Source organism: Homo sapiens, chromosome 5 (genome assembly GCF_000001405.40).
Source record: "Homo sapiens chromosome 5, GRCh38.p14 Primary Assembly".
Taxonomy (NCBI): Eukaryota; Metazoa; Chordata; class Mammalia; order Primates; family Hominidae; genus Homo; species Homo sapiens.
Window position 1 is genome coordinate 80,516,936 of NC_000005.10, and position 18,992 is coordinate 80,535,927.

At 37.1% G+C, this 18,992-nt stretch overlaps 1 protein-coding gene across 9 annotated transcripts in view; it reads left to right on the forward strand.

Moving 5' to 3' along the window:
• FAM151B (family with sequence similarity 151 member B) overlaps nucleotides 1–18,992 on the forward strand; it is a 54,464-nt gene that overhangs the window by 28,836 nt on the left and 6,636 nt on the right. For 8 of the 9 annotated variants that reach the window (NM_205548.3, XM_011543235.3, XM_011543234.3 and 5 more), the window contains 2 exons: nucleotides 2,758–2,975; nucleotides 5,068–5,203. In NM_205548.3, coding sequence (NP_991111.2) covers nucleotides 2,758–2,975; nucleotides 5,068–5,203 — 354 coding nt within the window. Of the gene's footprint in view, nucleotides 1–1,828; nucleotides 1,996–2,757; nucleotides 2,976–5,067; nucleotides 5,204–18,992 lie in introns of all 9 variants that reach the window. The other variant, XM_011543237.3, reaches the window with a different exon arrangement.

Below are 18,992 nucleotides of genomic sequence, written 5' to 3' on the forward strand. Positions count from 1 at the left end.
GTTTTAAATTACACACCATTCTGAGCAGTGTGGTGAAATCTGGTACTTTCCTATTCCATCCCAGCTGGGGTGTGACTCATCCCTTCCCTTCGTCCAGCGTATCCACACCATATATGCTGCCCACCTGTTAGTCACTTAATAGCCGTCACAGTTATCAGATTGACAGATCACAAGAAGAAGGGTGAGTACGGTACAGTATGCTATTTTGAGAGAGAGAGAGAGACCACATTCACATAACTTTTATTATAGTATATTGCTATAATTGTTCTATTTTATTACTAGTTTATGTTGCTAATCTCTTACTGTGACTAATTTATAAATTACACTTTATCAGAGATAGGTATGTGTAGGGAAAAAAAACAGACTACATATAGGGTTGGGTGCTAGGTAGTTTCAGGCATCCCTTGGAGGTCTTGGAACATATTCCCTGCAGATAAGGTGGACTACTGTAGATTTTATTTTGTTGTTTAGGAAAGTTTGTTCTCAGTTCTTTTTTCTCCCACAAAATGTTACACCTTTTCTTCCAGAAGAACTTTAGAATTACTTCGTCAAGTTTTAGAAAATAAGAACTACAACAACAAAAAGTTTTTGGTTCTTTAGTGAGGTTTTAAATTTGTTTAACCGCAGATTTTAAGTTTCTGGTAAGGGAAAATATCATTATCCTTCGTCTACATTAGTGATAATTAAAATATTTACATATAAAATGGAATAAATGTACTAAATTCTTGCTTCACTGTGTTCTTTGTCATAGTTCCTTATGTTTAACTGCACAGTGCTTCGCATGTAGTAGGCACTTAGTAAACACTGGTGGAATTTCGATTTGTGGGAGAATACGCTGTTTGAAACTGGATATTGGCCAGGTGCGGTGGCTCATGCCTGTAATCCCAGCACTTTGGGAGGCCGAGGCAGGTGGATCACTTGAGGTCAGGAGTTCAAGACCAGCCTGGCCAACATGGTGAAACCCCATCTCTACTGAAAATACAAAAATTAGCTGGGTGTGGTGGCGCATGCCTATAGTCCCAGCTACTTGGGAGGCAGAGGCAGGAGAATGGCTTGAACCCGGGATGCAGAGGTTACGGTGAGCAGAGATCGCACCGTTGCACTCCAGCCTGGGTGACAGGGCGAAACTCCATCTCAAAGAAAAAAAAAAAAAAAAAAAGAAACTGGATATTATCAGATGAAGAATCAATCTTAAACCACTCACTCTATGTCAACTTACTAAATTGAGAAAGCCTAAAAGGCTCCCTCCTGAAATGTAAACTGGAAATTAGTATTTAACCCAGCTTCCATAAGACACCAGATTTCTTAAGAAATCAGAGTCCTTTTTGGAAAAAGAGGAGCTTGGCAGGAGGCATGCATGGATTAGTTCAAGGTTTTTCCTTACTCCACCCATGAAGAGCAGCACCTCATGGGGACTTGGCTGCTGCTATGGGACTGACAGACAAGCAAGCTTTGGAGTCACAGGTACAAGTTGCTTGCTACGAAAAATGGAATTTTGTAGGAAGTACAGTGTTGGATCTCAGAATTGTGGTTTTAACATGGTGTTGACACAGGGCAAGGCAGGGAGAATTTAAAAGAGACAAATGACAACATCTAAATTAATGTCTGCAGAGTCCAGCATTAAGGTTTATTAATCCACTAAAATCTAGGCCCTCCCCAATTCAGGGGCAGAAGAGTGAGAAGGAAGCGTACCACATGGCAGCAGAGGGAAAGGGGCTAGAAGCTAAGGGATAGAGCCTGGGTTCCTCTGGTTTTAGTACATAGTATCCTTGCTCACTGGTAAACATAACCCAATAAATAATGAGATTATTTAAATTTCTTCTCTTAGAGTAGGAGGCCCAAAAGGAGTGGAGACAAGAGAGGTAGAAGCATAGACAGAAGTACTGCCGTCTCTTAGGAAGAGAGAGGGAAATGTGAGGAGGGGTCGGTGAGTGTTCTCCCCTCCAGTATCCATCTCCAAAATTCATAGCCTCCCATTATGATATTCACTACAAGGTAATTTTCTTATAAATGAACATAGGCAAGTAAAAATTATGGAAGCTGATTAAAACCTTATTGTTTCAAAGTCTGTAGTTATCAGCTAGAATATCTGTAGGGAAGTAAAAAGATTGAAGTTGCTTTTTAAATTTGAACTAAAATATACGTATTTCTAATTTTCAGAAAAGGTTCTTACAATAAAAGAAGAAAAATGAAACAGAAACTTGAAGGAAATACTATAATTTTATATTTTACAGTCATTTTTAGAATTGTTTATGTATCCAAACTCACCCAAGAATACATAAGGGAAAGAAGCTACTTTTATTCTCCAGGGTCATGAGCCTGAATTAGAGATACAGGGCTTGGATCCACTTGGGTATTTCATAAATGTGAATTTACAGGTTATTAAGTGTATTTCATTTATCTTATTTATACATTCTGGAACGAGTGAATATTTGTGTCTTTTAAAAAACTGTTTTCACACCAAGTGATCCTAATATGGAGTTTTGAAACCTCTATTTTGTCCACAAGTAGTACCACTATTCATATATTTATAGACTCTTTAAGGTATATTCATGAATAATAAGCACAGTTCAACATTTAGAGATATGGCATATGTTAGCTTTTCCCTCTGGTGCTATGCGATCTTTGATTTTATTTAACCCAGACATTATTGTATTTTGATTATGAATTTGAGAACATTGAGACCACTAGTCTAAAAGAACTTCTTTTTACTTTACCTAAAGAATCTATCTCATTGACAACAAATTATGTTTTTAGTCTGGCAGTTGTAGAACCATCCATGATGCTCTTGGAAAATGTGAAGAGGCATCTGAAGCGTCCTGTATGGATTAATGCCGATATTCTTCCTGGTCCAAATGGAAATAGCAAAGTAATAGATGCAAAACCATTTTTAGACACCGTGATATCCTTCTTTCCAGACGTGACGTTTTCCCTGGGTTGGACAACAGGATGGCATCCTGAGAAAGTCAATGAAGGTAATAATTCTAATAATGTATTTCTTGGTCAAATTAAAATATCCTCCAGGTATAAAAATAACATCTTTAATACAAAGACCAAAACCCATTCTACAAAATCTAAGCCTGATGGAAAAAAAGGCCTGACCCTTCAGGTATGTGCAGACCCTTCCATCTGCTCTTTCAGATAGATGCCATGTTCACTGGTGACGCTGCAGATTTTAAGAGAGTTCACACATTTATAGTCATATAAGTAAAGCTTCTGTTAGCAATCTCTTTTTCTAATTTTTAAAAATATAATTTTCCAGATTTTAAAGGAAAGTGGAACACGTCCCTTCTTTTTATCAGGAAATTAGCTGCTAAACTAACATATTCACTTAAGATTTCTGTAAAATGTTCCTTTACTGACTGACCAATATTTTTTACAACTTGCTTTTGATAGAGTATAGAGTTATTTAAAATAGATATATTCTGGCCGGGCGTGGTGGCTCATGCCTGTAATCACCACACTTCGGGAGGCCAAGGTGGGCGGATCACCTGAAGTCAGGAGTTTGAGACCAGCCTGGCCAGCATGACGAAACCCCGTCTCTACTAAAAATACAAAAGTTAGCCAGGCATGGTAGTGTGTGCCTGTAGTCTCAGCTACTCGGGAGGCTGAGGCAGGAGAATCACTTGAACCCAGGAGGCGTAGGTTGCAGTGAGCCAAGATCGTGCCACTGTACTCCAGCCTGGGCAACAGAGTGAGACTCTGTCTCAAAAAAAAAAAAAAAGTGTGTGCATATATATATATGTGTGTGTATATATATATATATTTATTTATTATGTATATAGTTTATTTATATATAAAAATATATATTCTCTATATATACATAGATACTTTTTTTTCAAGCTATTTAGAAACAAGCAAGTGTGTTTTCCATGTGGTTTTTTTTTTTTTTAAATAGAGTCTTGCTCTGTTGCCCAGGCTGGAGTGCAGTGGTGTGATCTCAGCTTACTGCAACCTCCACCTCCCAGGTTCCCAGGTTCAAGTGATTCTCGTGCATCAACCTCTTGAATAGCTGGGATTACAGGCGCCACCACGCCCAGCTAATTTTTGTATTGTTTTTTAGTAGAGATGGGGTTTCACCATGTTGGCCAGGCTGGTCTCAAACTCCTGACCTCCAGTGATCCACCCACCTTGGCCTCCCAAAGTGCTGGGATTACAGGCATGAGCCACTGCACCTGGCCTTTTTTTTTTTTTTTTTTTTTTTTTAAAAAACAGGGTCTGGCTCTGTCACCCAGGCTGAGTGCAGTAGTACCATCATGGCTCACTGCACCTTCAACCTCCTGGGCTCAAGTGATCCTCCCACCTCAGCCTCCAGAGTAGCTGAGACCACAGGCATACACCATCACACACAGCTACTTTTTAAATTTTTTTGTAGAAGTGAAGTCTCACTAAGTTGCCCAGGCTGGTTTCAAACTCCTGGGCTCAAGCTATCCTCCCACCTTGGCCTCTCAAAGTGCTGGGATTACAGGCATAAACCACCATGCCTGGCCCACAATGTCTTAACATGATTTAAATATATGTAAAATATATACATATATAGTCAATTTTACCACTATTTCTACTTTAAGTAAAATATACAGGTAATTTGGGCAAGCCAAAAAGAAAATTGATTTGATGTTAACTATCACTTAAACAGCTAGCATATACCCCAAAGCAACCTTTCTTGGAAAAGAAAATTTAACAAAAATAGGAAATCCAAGTTTATAGAGAATAATAATGATGCAGGTGTACCTAAAAGAAGAGCCTTAAAATATTTAAAGTAAATAAAATCTAGTGGTGTAAATTTTTTTTCTTGTGCTTGAGAGATTAGTAAAACCTTTTTAGTGCCTTAATGTTTTGTTAAATTTGCTCTAGGTCACTTGTGGAATGATTTTTTATCTCCATTTTCCACTTAGTTTTTTTTCACATTAAGTAGCATTTTAATTGACTTAGAATCCAAATGGAAAGTATTATGAATTACCTATGAATTATCTATGGTTTTACCTAATTATAGGTAATTTAGTCTTTTATTTAATTGTCTTTCAAGATTTCAATCAATAAAGTTAAATTTTTTTCTTTTCTTTTAAGGGTACAGTTGGACAATGGTGAAAGAGATGGAATATATATGTAATGAACTAAGTCAGCCTGTAACGTTCCCTGTCAGAGCAGCATTAGTCAGGCAGTCTTGTTCTCAGTTACTTTGGCTGTTAAAGAAATCAAACAGGTATGTAATAGTTTAACAAATGTGTATGTGAGTGTGTATGAGAGACAGAGATAGAAAGGGCATGAAAATTGATTATTTAAAGACAGTGTGTGTGAGAGAAAGGTAGACAGAAAAGGAATGAAAACTGATGATATAAGCGCACAGACTCCCTCACCGGATTGGAGCTCCTTGATGAACCTTAACTTACTTAACATCGTATATTTTACCCCTATTCCTCACAAAAGTTTTTGTACATAGTAGGTGCTCAGTAAGTGTTAGCTGTCTTTTTCATTATATATTCACAAAAAATTATGAGTGGATAAATTAGCTTCTTTTTAAATTTCATCATAATTTCAGAAATCAGCCAGGTGTGATGGCTCACACCCGTAATCCCAGCACTTTGGGAGGCTGAGGCAGGAGGATCCCCTGAACCCAGGAGTTTGAGATCAGCCTGGGCAATTTAGTGAGAACTTGTCTTTACAAAACATTAAAAAATTAGCCGAGCGTGGTGGCAAGCACCTGTAGTCTCAGCTACTCGGGAAGCTAAGGTGGGAGCATCGCTTGAAACTGGGAGGCCGAGGCTTCAGTGAGCCAAGATCATACAACTGTACTACAGCCTAGGTGACAGAGCGAGGCCCTGTCTCAAAAATAATACTTTCAGAAATCTTTTTTATATAAAAGTTTTATTTTGGTATGTAATAAAAATTAGTTGGACCACCTATTGAATATTTAAATAGATTATAAAAGTACAGATGTTAAAAATTTTATTTTTTTTTCTTTTAAGAGATCAATCAGTAGAACAAAAGGAAAAGTCCAGAATCTATCATGGAACTTAGTGTAGAAACAAGCTGACTTTTCAGATCTTTGGAGCAAGAAGTTCAGCAACTGGTTTTAGGACAACAGGCTATGTAGGAAAAACAATGCTGACACCTTTGCTTATTCCTTGCTCCAAAATACATTCCCAATGAATTAAAGATTTGAACATCAAACAGTAAATGCATAAAGAATAAACAAGGGATGATTCCTTAAATATAGTTTCAGAATGGAGAAGACCTTTCTTAGTAGTAAGGCACAAAACCCAGAAGCCTGTAAAAGGAATTTTGATACATTTGAATACATAAAAATGGAAAGCAACTAGTAAAAAGACCCCCAATGTGTATGTCAGAGAAATGTTAAGAATTCTGACAAATAAAGGATTTTTACAAATTACCCAGAAAAAGTCCCAGTTTAATAATTCACTATGTTGCAGAGAATAGTGGAAGCAAGACACTCATACATTTTTGGCTGGAGTATAAACTGATCAATAATTTCCTTGGAGAGAAATTTGGCATATACTCATGAATTTCACTAATGAGACCGTGTCTTACTAATAGACGTTCACATAAGCACAGAGACATAGGTACAAGGATATTCTGGAAGCATCGTTTGTATTAATAAAAGACTTGAAACATTCTAAATATCTATCAGTCAGACACTGTTGAATAAATTATGGTACACCCATATGATGGAATATTATATGTTATAGATAATGCAGGAGACCCTATGTTTTAATATGGAATGATCTCTAAGATATATTATTAACTGAATAAATTAAGATGCAGAATGATAGGTATAGTATGATTCCATTTGCATGTGGGAAAATTGATGTGTAAAAATATTTGTAGATGAATTGAGCTTAGAGTAGTTTGAATCAGTGGCTGCTAGCATTATGCTTAAAGAGAAATATTAGGTGATACCAGACACTATTCCAGTCAGATTCTTAGTTACAAACAATTATGGGGCAACCCTCGTTGTTAAAGTATCCCGTGATGCTATTTGACATTCTCTTTTTGCAAACACATCATTTATTTATTAACTCTGCCTCTAGGTTTGTTTGTTTTCATTAGTGTCAGGGAAGTGCACTGAAATCAAATAGCATACTGTATTAATTTTTTAAAGATTATTATTGAAATTAAAGCATTACATTTAATTAAAATTTTCAGTTCTCATGGAAAACTCTAGAGTTTTTGAGAATATATTTTCTTACCCTCATTTGAGAAACATTTACAATATAGATGGACTCTATTTTCTTGGAGACATAATACTCAGATAATCATGTGCACAAGTACCATATGACTATGGCCACATTTATGAGAGAATTCAGCCCAGCCTATATTCCATTTGGGTATATTTTTTTCATTTTTGATGATGTCACATTGATTTTCACATAGTCATATGTGTGATAAGAGCACCTAAAATCTATTATGTTAGCAAATTTTTCAAATACAACAATATTAACTATAGTCCTCCTACTGTCCATTAGATCTCTAGACTTATTATCTTGTGTAACTGCAAGTTCATCTACTCGTTATTTTTTAAAGATACCTACTTACTCTCATTTTACTGGTTTTGAGAATCATATTCATCCTCCAAAGTTCTGGAGTTTGCTTGTTTTTCTAATTATTCCATAGAAAAAAACTACAGAACATTATCATTAGTTCTACAGACTTAGAGGTTCTTATATTGTTTGAGATAGGAAGGAAAAGTCCATTTATTTTTTAAAAACTTAGCACTGAAATATTTATGTAGACTATACTTTTTATGGTAAAAGCAATGTAGGCTGATAACAGTGTTTCAGATAACAAAATCTGGATAATATGCTTCTACTTTAAAAGACTGAAGGTTAGAATTGTCTTTATGGTGGACCCAGGTGTTTTAATTTTGTTCCTAATAATTTTTTTATTATCTAATGTTTGTGAGATTGCATGAAGACAGCAACCTTGCTTATCTTGATCATCCACAGATCTTTAGCATTTAAAATAATGCCCAGCACATCATAGGAATTTAATAAATAGTTGTTAAATGGAAAAACCAAATGCATACAGGCACTGTTTCATCATAGAGAGCATTAGAAGCCTGTACTTTCTGGAGAAGTAGTTTTGGTGTTTAAATACAAAAATAGCTATAAAAGACAGCATTAAGCAAAGAGCCTTAGAGATTATTTTAGTTACTCTGGTGTCAAGTACCACCTCAATCACCTTGTGATGTGCTCTAATGTAATTAGTAATATGAATAATATGTTACAAAGGGAGTAGCTTCTAGAGAAAGAATGCTTCTAAGAAGATAGCAATATCCCATCTTTATACGAGAACCTCATTTTGAGTCAAGCAATTGTGCATGAATGAATCCTGCAATGTCAAGAGAGCTATTTGAAATAAGACACTATCACAATATTTCTGTGTCAGGGAACTCAACAAGTGATGAACTGCTGATCCCTTTTTGCTTCTCATCTAAGTAGTTGGTGAATCCACTCTGCAGTAACACCCTTGAACCATGGCGAAGTTTCAGTTCTTGACAGCATACCTGTTCAAAGAACAGGCTAAGTGTTTTTATTATAGAAATTTCAAAATACAGTAACTCAAACAGGAGAGAAGTTTGTATATCTGTCTCCAAACAGTCCAGACTCAGGAAGGTCTCAGGAGGGTGGAGGATCTTCTCCAACGGTCATCTAGAGCCTAGGTTCATTCTGTCCAGTTCCTCTGCTAACCCTGGGAATGTCAGCATGCACATAAGTAGAAGCTGACGTACACTATCACATTCCCGTTCCAGCCCACAAATGTTGACAGAAAAAAAACATACACCAGAGTAACTAAAATAACCTCTAAGGCTCTTTGCTTAATGCTGCCTTTTATAACTATTTTTGTATTTAAACACCAAAACTACTTCTCCAGAAAGTACAGGCTTCTAATGCTCTCTATAATGAAACAGTGCCTGTATGCATATATATATATATATATATGAAGGCATATACTAGGTGTATTTAGATGACCTGTATATACTAGGAGTATTTATATTTTTATACTAGGTGTGTATATATATATAAAATGCATATACATATATATGAAGGCTATAGATTTCTGTATACAGTCATCCCTCAGTATACGTGGAGGATGGGTTCAAGGATGCTCAGCATATACCAAAATCGGCTCATTCTGAAGTTCCCAAGCTGTTCCTTTGGGACTTGAGTACACAGAAAGTCAGCCTCCTTATACCCACATTTCAAATCCTGTGAATGCTCTATGTCCATTCTCATTTGGTTGAAAAAAATCAGTGTATCAATGGACTCACTCAGTTCTAACCTGTGTTGTTCAAGAGTCAACTATATTGATTTGGATATTGTGTCCAAATCTATATCCTAAATTCTCTTAGCATTTTTAATAGTCTTTCAGGGCCAGGCACAGTGTCTCATGTGTGTAATCCTAGCACTTTGGGAGGCCAAGGCGGGCGGATCACCTGAGGTCAGGAGTTCAAGACCAAGCTTGGCCAACATGGTGAAACACCATCTCTACTAAAGTCCAAAAAAAAAAAAAAAAATTAGCCATGCATGATGGCAGGTGCCTGTAATTCCAGCTACTCGGGAGGCTGAGATGGGGGAATCGCTTGAATTTGGGAGATGGTGGTTGCAGTGAGCCAAGGTCGCACCACTGCACTCCAGCCTGTGCGGCTGAACAAGATTCCGTCTAAAAAAAAATAGTCTTTCAATTGATTTTCTTGAGTTTTCTAAGCAAAAAAAATTTATTCTCTTCAAATAATGTTAATTTTACCTCTTTTCAACTTTTATATCTCTAATTTCTTTTTTATGATGGTTAATACCTCTAGAATAGTGATTCTCAAGGTATTATCAGTAGGGGTGATTTGGCTCTCCAGCAGACAATGCCTGAGGACATTTTTGGTTGCCACACCAAAAGATGAGGGGTGGGGGCAGGGATTCTATTGAACAGCTAGTGGTAAAGGCCAGGGATGCTGCTTTAGACATCCTACATTGCATAGAACTGCTCCCACAGTAAAGAATTATCTAGCTGAAATTTCAATAGTCAACATTGAGAACTCTAGAACAGTGTTAGATAGTATTGCTAGTAGTGCCCAAACATATCTTATTCTTACCTTTAACACAACAACTTAGTATTCTGCAAAGATCCTGCAGAAGTACAGTCATGTATCGCTTTAAGATGGGGATACCTTCTGAGAAATTTTTCATTAGGTCATCCAGGCACAGTGGCTCAGGCCTGTAATCTCAGCACTTTGAGAGGCCAAGGTGGGTGGATCACTTGAGTTCAGGAGTTCGAGACCAGCCTAGTTAACATAGTGAAACCCCATCTCTACTAAAAATACAAAAATTAGCTGGGTGTGGTGGCACACGTCTGTAATCTCAGCTACTCAGGACGCTGAGGCAGGAGAATTGCTTGAACCTGGAAGGCAGAAGTTGTAGTGAGCCGAGGTCATGCCACTGCACTTCAGCCTGGGTGGCAGAGCAAGACTCTGTCTCAATTAAAAAAAAAAAAAAATTTCATTAGGTAATTTTGTCATTGTGTGAACATCATAGGATGTACTTACACAAACCTAAATTGCCTACACCTAGGCTATACAATGTAACCATTTGTTTCTAGGCTACAAACTTGTACACCGTATTATCATACTGAATAATGTAGGTAATTATAACACAGTGGTAAGTATCTGTGTATATAAACATATCTAAACATAGACAAAAGTACAGTGAAAATATGATATAAAAGATAAAAAATGGCACACCTGTGTAGGGCACTTACCATTTCCGGAGCTTGCAGGACTGGAAGTGTCAGTGAGTGGGTGGTAAATGAATGTGAAGGCCTACAGCATTACTGTACACTACTGTAGACTTTATAAACTGTGTACTTAGACCATATTAAATTTATTTAAAATTTCTTTTTCTTCAAGAATACATTAACCTTAGCTTACTCTAACATTTTTACTTTATAAGCTTTTTCTAAACAAATCTTTTTGACTCTTTAGCAATAACACTTGGCTTAAAACACAACCACCTTGTATAGCTGTACAAAAATATTTCCTTTCTTTATATCCTATTCTATAAGCTTTTTTCAATTTTTTAACTTTTTACTTTTTTTAAACTTTTAAAATATTTTTGTTAAAAACTAAGACACAAAAACTATACTTCCAGGGATCATATCTATAGCTCATTTCTAGGAAAATTTCCCGAATGAGTAGAGTGCTGAAATAATGGTTTATAAGATAGTATTTGCAAGCCTCATGGTAGCCTCAAACCAAAAACCATACAGTGGATACACAAAAAGTAACAAGCAAGAAGCTAAATCATATCACTAGAGAAAATCACCTTCACTAAAAGGAAGAAAGGAAGGGGGAAAAAAAGAAGGAAGGCAAGACCACAAAATAACCAGAAAACAACAAACTGGCAGGGGTAAGTCCTTACTTATCAATAATAACATTGAATGTAAGTGACCTAAACTCTCTAATAAAAGTCAGAGTGACTGAATGGATGAAAAAAAAAAAGAGCGAGACTCATCAATCTGTTGCTTACAAGGATCACACTTCACCTATGAAGACACACATAGACTGAAAAGGATGGAAAAAGATATTCCATGCCAATGGAAACCAAAAAAGAGCAGGAGTAGATATACTTATATGAGACAAAATAGATTTCAACACACAAAAAAAATTAGCTGGGTGTGGTGGCATGTGCCTGTAATCCCAGCTGCTTGGGAGGCTGAGGTGGAGGCTGCAGTGAGCTATAATCACACCACTGCACTCCAGCCTGGGTGACAGAGTAAGACCCAGTCTCAGAAAAAAAAAAAAGGATTCCCTACAAAGAGACTTAGATTCCCACACAATAATAATGGGAGACGTTAACATCCCACTGTCAACATTAGACAGATCAACGAGACAGAAAGTTAACAAGGATATCCAGGAATTGAACTCAGCTCTGCACCAAGTGGACCTAATAGACATCTACAGAACTCTCCACCCCAGATCAACAAAATATACATTCTTCTCAGCACCACATCGCATTTATTCCAAAATTGACCACATAGTTGGAAGTGAAGTACTCCTCACCAAATGTAAAAGAACAGAAATTATAACAAACTGTCTCTGAGACCACAGTGCAATCAAACTACAACTCAGGATTAAGAAACTCACTCAAAACCGCTCAACTACATGGAAACTGAACAACCTGCTCCTGAGTGACTACTGGGTACATAACGAAATGAAGGCAGAAATAAAGATGTTCTTTGAAACCAACAAGAACAAAGACACAACATACCAGAATCTCTGGGACACATTTAAAGCAGTGTGTAGAGGGAAATTTATAGCACTAAATGCCCACAAGAGAAAGCAGGAAAGATCTAAAATTGGCACCCTAACATCACAATTAAAAGAACTAGAGAAGCAAGAGCAAACCCATTCAAAAGCTAGCAGAAGGCAAGAAATAACTAAGATCAGAGCAGAACTGAAGGAGATAGAGACACAAAAAACCCTTCAAAAAAGCAATGAATCCAGGAGCTGGTTTTTTGAAAAGATCAACAAAATTGATAGACCGCTAGCAAGACTAATAAAGAAGAAAAGAGAGAAGAATCAAATAGACGCAATAAAAAATGATAAAGCGGATATCACCACTGATCCCACAGAAATACAAATTACCATCAGAGAATACTATAAACACCTCTACGCAAATAAACGAGAAAATCTAGAAGAAATGGATAAATTCCTGGACACATATACCCTCCCAAGACTAAACCAGGAAGAAGTTGAATCTCCGAATAGACCAATAACAGGCTCTGAAATTGAGGGAATAATTAATAGCCCACCAACCAAAAAAAGTCCAGGACGAGACGGATTCACAGCTGAATCTACCAGAGGTACAAAGAGGAGCTGGTAGCATTCCTTTTGAAACTATTCCAATCAATAGAAAAAGAGGGAATCCTCCCTAACTCATTTTATGAGGCCGGCATCATCCTGATACCAAAGCCTGGCAAAGACACAACAAAAAAAGAATTTCAGACCAATATCCGTGATGAACATCGCTGCAAAAATCCTCAATAAAATACTGGCAAACCAAATCCAACAGCACATCAAAAAGCTTATCCAGCACGATCAAGTGGGCTTCATCCCTAGGATGCAAGGCTGGTTCAACATATACAAATCAATAAACATAATCCAGCATATAAACAGAACCAAAGACAAAAACCACATAATTATCTCAATAGATTCAGAAAAGGCCTTTGACAAAATTCAACAGCCCTTCATGCTAAAAACTCTCAATAAACTAGGTATTGATGGGACGTATCTCAAAATAATAAGAGCTATTTATGACAAACCCACAGCCAATATCATACTGAATGGGCAAAAACTGGAAGCATTCCCTTTGAAAACTGGCACAAGACAGGGATGCCCTCTCTCACCACTCCTATTCAACATAGTGTTGGAAGTTCTGGCCAGGGCAATCAGGCAGGAGAAGGAAATAAAGGGTATTCAATTAGGAAAAGAGGAAGTCAAATTGTCCCTGTTTGCAGATGACATGATTGTATATTTAGAAAACCCTATTGTCTCAGCCCAAAATCTCCTTAAGCTGATAAGCAACTTCAGCAAAGTCTCAAGATACAAAATCAATGTGCCAAAATCACAAGCGTTCCTATACACCAATAACAGGCAAACAGAGAGCCAAATCATGAGTGAACTTCCATTCACAATTGCTTCAAAGAGAATAAAATACCTAGGAATCCAGCTTACAAAGGATGTGAAGGACCTCTTCAAGGAGAACTACAAACCACTGCTCAACGAAATAAAAGAGGACACAAACAAATGGAAGAACATTCCATGCTCATGGATAGGAAGAATCAATACCGTGAAAATGGCCATACTGCCCAAGGTAATTTATATGTTCAATGCCATCACCATCAAGCTACCAATGACTTTCTTCACAGAATTGGAAAAAACTACTTTAAAATTCATATGGAACCAAAAAAGAGCCCGCATTGCCAAGACAATCTTAAGCCAAAAGAGCAAAGCTGGAGGCATCATGCTACCTGACTTCAAACTATACGACAAGGCTGCAGTAACCAAAACAGCATAGTACTGGTACCAAAACAGAGATATAGACCAATGGAACAGAATAGAGCCCTTGGAAATGAGACCGCACGTCTGCAACCATCTGATCTTTGACAAACCTGACAAAAACAAGAAATGGGGAAAGGATTCCCTATTTAATAAATGGTGCTGGGAAAACTGGCTAGCCATATGTAGAAAGCTGAAACTGGATCCCTTCCTTACACCTTATACAAAAATTAATTCAAAATGGATTAAAGACTTAAATATTAGACCTAAAGCCATAAAAACCCTAGAAGAAAACCTAGGCAATACCATTAAGGCCATAAGCATGGGCAAGGACTTCATGACTAAACACCAAAAGCAATGGCAACAAAAGCCAAAGTTGACAAATGAGATCTAATTAAACTAAAGAGCTTCTGCACAGCAAAAGAAACTACCATCAGAGTGAACAGGCAACCTACAGAATGGGAGAAAATTTTTACAATCTACCCATCTGACAAAGGGCTAATACCCAGAATCTACAAAGAACTCAAACAAATTTACAAGAAAAAAATCAAACAACCCCATCAAAAAGTGGGCGAAGGATATGAACAGACACCTCTCAGAAGCAGACATTTATGCAGCCAACAGACACATGAAAAAATGCTCATCATCACTGGCCATCAGAGAATGCACATCAAAACCACAATGAGAAACCGTCTCACATCAGTTAGAATGGCAATCATTAGAAAGTCAGGAAATAACAGGTGCTGGAGAGGATGTGGAGAAATAGAAACACTTTTACACTGTTGGTGGGACTATAAACTAGTTCAACCATTGTGGAAGACAGTGTGGTGATTCCTCAAGGATCTAGAACTAGAAATACCATTTGATCCAGCCATCTCATTACTGGGTATATACCCAAAGGATTATAAGTCATGCAGCTATAAAGACATATGGACACATATGTTTATTGTGGCACTATTCACAATAGCAAAGACTTGGAACCAACCCAAATGTCCATCAATGATAGACTGGATTAAGAAAATGTGGCACATATACACCATGGAATACTATGCACCCATAAAAAAGGATGAGTTCATGTCCTTTGTAGGGACCATCATTCTCAGCAAACTATCACAGGGACAAAAAACCAAACACTGTGTGTTCTCACTCATAGGTGGGAATCGAACAATGAGAACACATGGACACAGGGTGGGGAACATCCCACACCGGGGCCTGTTGTGGGGTGGGGGGAGGGGGGAGGGATAGCATGAGGAGATATACCTAATGTAAATGATGAGTTAATGGGTGCAGCACACCAACATGGCACATGTATACATATGTAACTAACCTGCATGTTGTGCACATGCACCCTAGAACTTAAAAGTATAATAAAAAAAAATGTCAACACAAAAACTATAAGAGACTAAGAAGATCACTATATAATGATAAGGGAGTCAGTTCAGCAAGAGGATATAACAATTGTAAATATATATAAACCCAACACTGGAGCACCCAGATATATAAAGCAAATATTATTAGAGCTAAGCTGTTAGATTCCAATACAATAATAGCTGGAGACTTCAACACCCCACTTTCAACATTGGACAGATCTTCCAGATAGAAAATCAGTAAAGAAACATGTCACTTAATCTGCACTATAGAGCAAATGCATCTAACAGATATTTACAGAACATTTCATCCAACAGCTGCAAAATACACATTCTTTTTCTCAACACATGGATCATTCTCCAGGGTAGACCATATATTAGATCACAAAACAAGTCTAACAACATTCAATAAATTGAAATAATATCAAGCATCTTCTCTGACCACAATGGAATAAAACTAGAAATCAATAATGAGGAATTTTGGAAACTATACAAATACATGGAAATTAAACTATATGCTCCTGAATGGCCAGTGGGTCAATGAAGAAATTAAGAAAGAAATTGAAAATTTTATTGAAACAAATGATAATGGAAACACAACATATCAAAACCTAGCAGATGCAGCAAAAGCCATACTAAGATGGAAGCTTATAGCTATAAGTGCCTACATCGAAAATTTTTAAAACTTCAAATAACCTAACAGTGCATCTTAAAAACTAGAAAAGCAAGGCCGAGCACTGTGGCTCACACCTGTAATCCCAGCACTTTGGGAGGCTGACGCGGGTGGATCACGAGGTCAGGAGATCAAGATCATCCTGGCTAACATAGTGAAACCCCGTCTCTACTAAAAATACAAAAAAATAGCCGGGCGTGGTGGCGGGTGCCTGTAGTCCCAGCTACTCGGGAGGCTGAGGCAGGAGAATGGTGTGAACCTGGGAGGCGGAGCTTGCAGTGAACCGAGATCACACCACTGCACTCCAGCCTAGGTGACAAAGCGAGACTCCATCTCAAAAAACAAAACAAAACAAAACAAAAAAACTAGAAAAGCAAGAGCAAACCAAACCCAAAATTAGTAGAAGAAAATAAATAATAAAGATCAGGCCGAGCGAGCACAGTGTCTCACGCCTGTAATCCCAGCACTTTGGGAGGCCAAGGCAGTGAATCACCTGAGGTCAGGAGTTTGAGACCAGCCTGACCAACAAGGCGAAACCCTCTCTACTAAAAATACAACAATTAACCAGGTGTGGTGGCACGCACCTGTAATCCCAGCTACTCAGGAGGCTGATGCAGGAGAATCAGTTGAACCTGGGCAGCAGAGATTGCAGTGAGCCGAGATCACACCACTGCACTCCAGTCTGGGCAACAGAGCGAGACTCCATCTCAAAAAAAAAAAAAAAAAAAGAGCAGAAATAAATGAAATTGAAATGAAAACAGTATAAAAGATCAATGAAACAAAAAGTTGGCTTTTTGAAAAGTTAAAGAAAATGGACAAATCTTTAGCCAGATTAAGAAAAAACAGAGAATCCAAATAAATAAAATCAGATATGAAAAAGGAGACATTACAATTGATACTGTGGAAATCCAGAGAATTATTAGTGGCTACTGTGAGCAACTATATGCCAATAAACTGGAAAATCTAGAAGAAATGGACAAATCCCTAGAGTCATACAACCAACCAATATTGAACCATGAAGAGATCTAAAATCTGAACAGACCAATAACAAGTAATGAGATTGAAGCTATAATAAAAAGTCTTTCAGTAAAGAAAACCCTGGGACCCGATGGCTTCACTGCTGAATTCTACCAAACATTTAAAGAAGAACTAACACCAGTCCTATTCAAACTATCCAAAAAATAGAGGAGGAGGGAATACTTCTAAACTCATTCTACAAGGCCAGCATTACCCTGATACCAAAAACAGACAAAGACACATTAAAAAAAAAACCTACAAATCAATATTACTGATGAACATTGATGCAAAAATCCTTGGCAAAATACTAGCAAACTGAATTCACCAATACATTAAAAAGATCATTCATCATGACCAAGTGGGATTTATCCGAGGGATGAAAGGATGGTTCAACACATGTAAATCAATCACTGTGATACATCGTATTAACAGCGTGAAGGACAAAAACCATATGATCATTTCAATTGATGCTGAAAAAACATTGGGTAAAATTCAACATCCCTTCGTGATAAAAACCCACAAAAAAACTGGGTATGGAAGGAGCATGCCTCAACGTAATAAAAGCTATATACAACAGACCCACAGCTAGTATTATGCTGAGTGGGATAAAACTGAAAGCGTTTTCTCTAAGACGAGGAACAAGACAAGGATGCCCACTTTCACCACTGTTATTTAACATAGTACTAGAAGTCCTAGGGAGAACAATCAGACAAGAAAGATATATAAAGGACATCCAAATTGGAAAGGAAGAAGTCAAATTATCCTTGTTTGCAGATGATATGATCTTATATTTGGAAAAACCTAAAGACTCCACATAAAAAAACTATTAGAACTAATAAATTCAGTAAAGTTGCAGGATACAAAATCAGCATACAAAAATTGCTAACATTTCTATATGCCAACAGTGAACAATTAAAAAAGAAATCAGAAAAGTGATCCCACTTAGAATAGCCACAATTAAAATTAACTACCTAGGAATTAACCAAAGAAGTGAAAGATCTCTATAATTAAAACTATAAAACACTGGTGCAAGAAACTGAAGAGGACACCCCAAAATGGAGAGATATTCCATGTTTGTGGATTGGAAGAATTAATATTGTTAAAATATCCATACTACCTAAAGCAATCTGTAGATTCAATGCAGTCCCTATCAAAATTCCAATGACATTCTTCACAGAAATATTTTAAAAATCCTAAACTGTATATGGAACCACAAAGGCCCAGAATAGCCGAAGTTGTCCTAAGCAAAATGAACAAAACTGGAAGAATCACATTTACCTGACTTCAAATTATACTACAGAGCTATAGTAACCAAAACTGCATTGTACTGGCATAAAAACAGACACAGAGGCCAATGGGACAGAATTGAGAACCCAGAAACAAATGCACACACCTACAGTGTTTTCACAAAGCTGCCAGGAACATACACTGGGGAAATTAGTCTCTTCAGTAAATGGTGCAGAGAAAACTAGATAGCCATATGCAGAAGAATGAAATTAGACCCGTCTCTTACTGTATACCAAAATGAAATCAAAATGGATTAAATACTTAAATCTAAGACCTCAAACTATGAAACTACTGCAAGAAAACATTGGGGAAACCCTTGAAGACATTGGTCTTGGCAAAGATTTCTTTAGTAATACCCCACAAGCAAGGCAGCCAAAGCAAAAATGGACAAATGGGATCACATCAAGTCATAAAGCTTCTGTACAGCAAAGGAAATGGTCAACAAAGTGAAGAAACAATGTACAGAATGGGAGAAAACATTTGCAAACTACCCATCTAACAAGGGATTAATAACTAGAATATATAAGTAGCTCAAACAACTCTACTGGAAAAAATCTAATCTGATCTTAAAATGGGCAAAAGA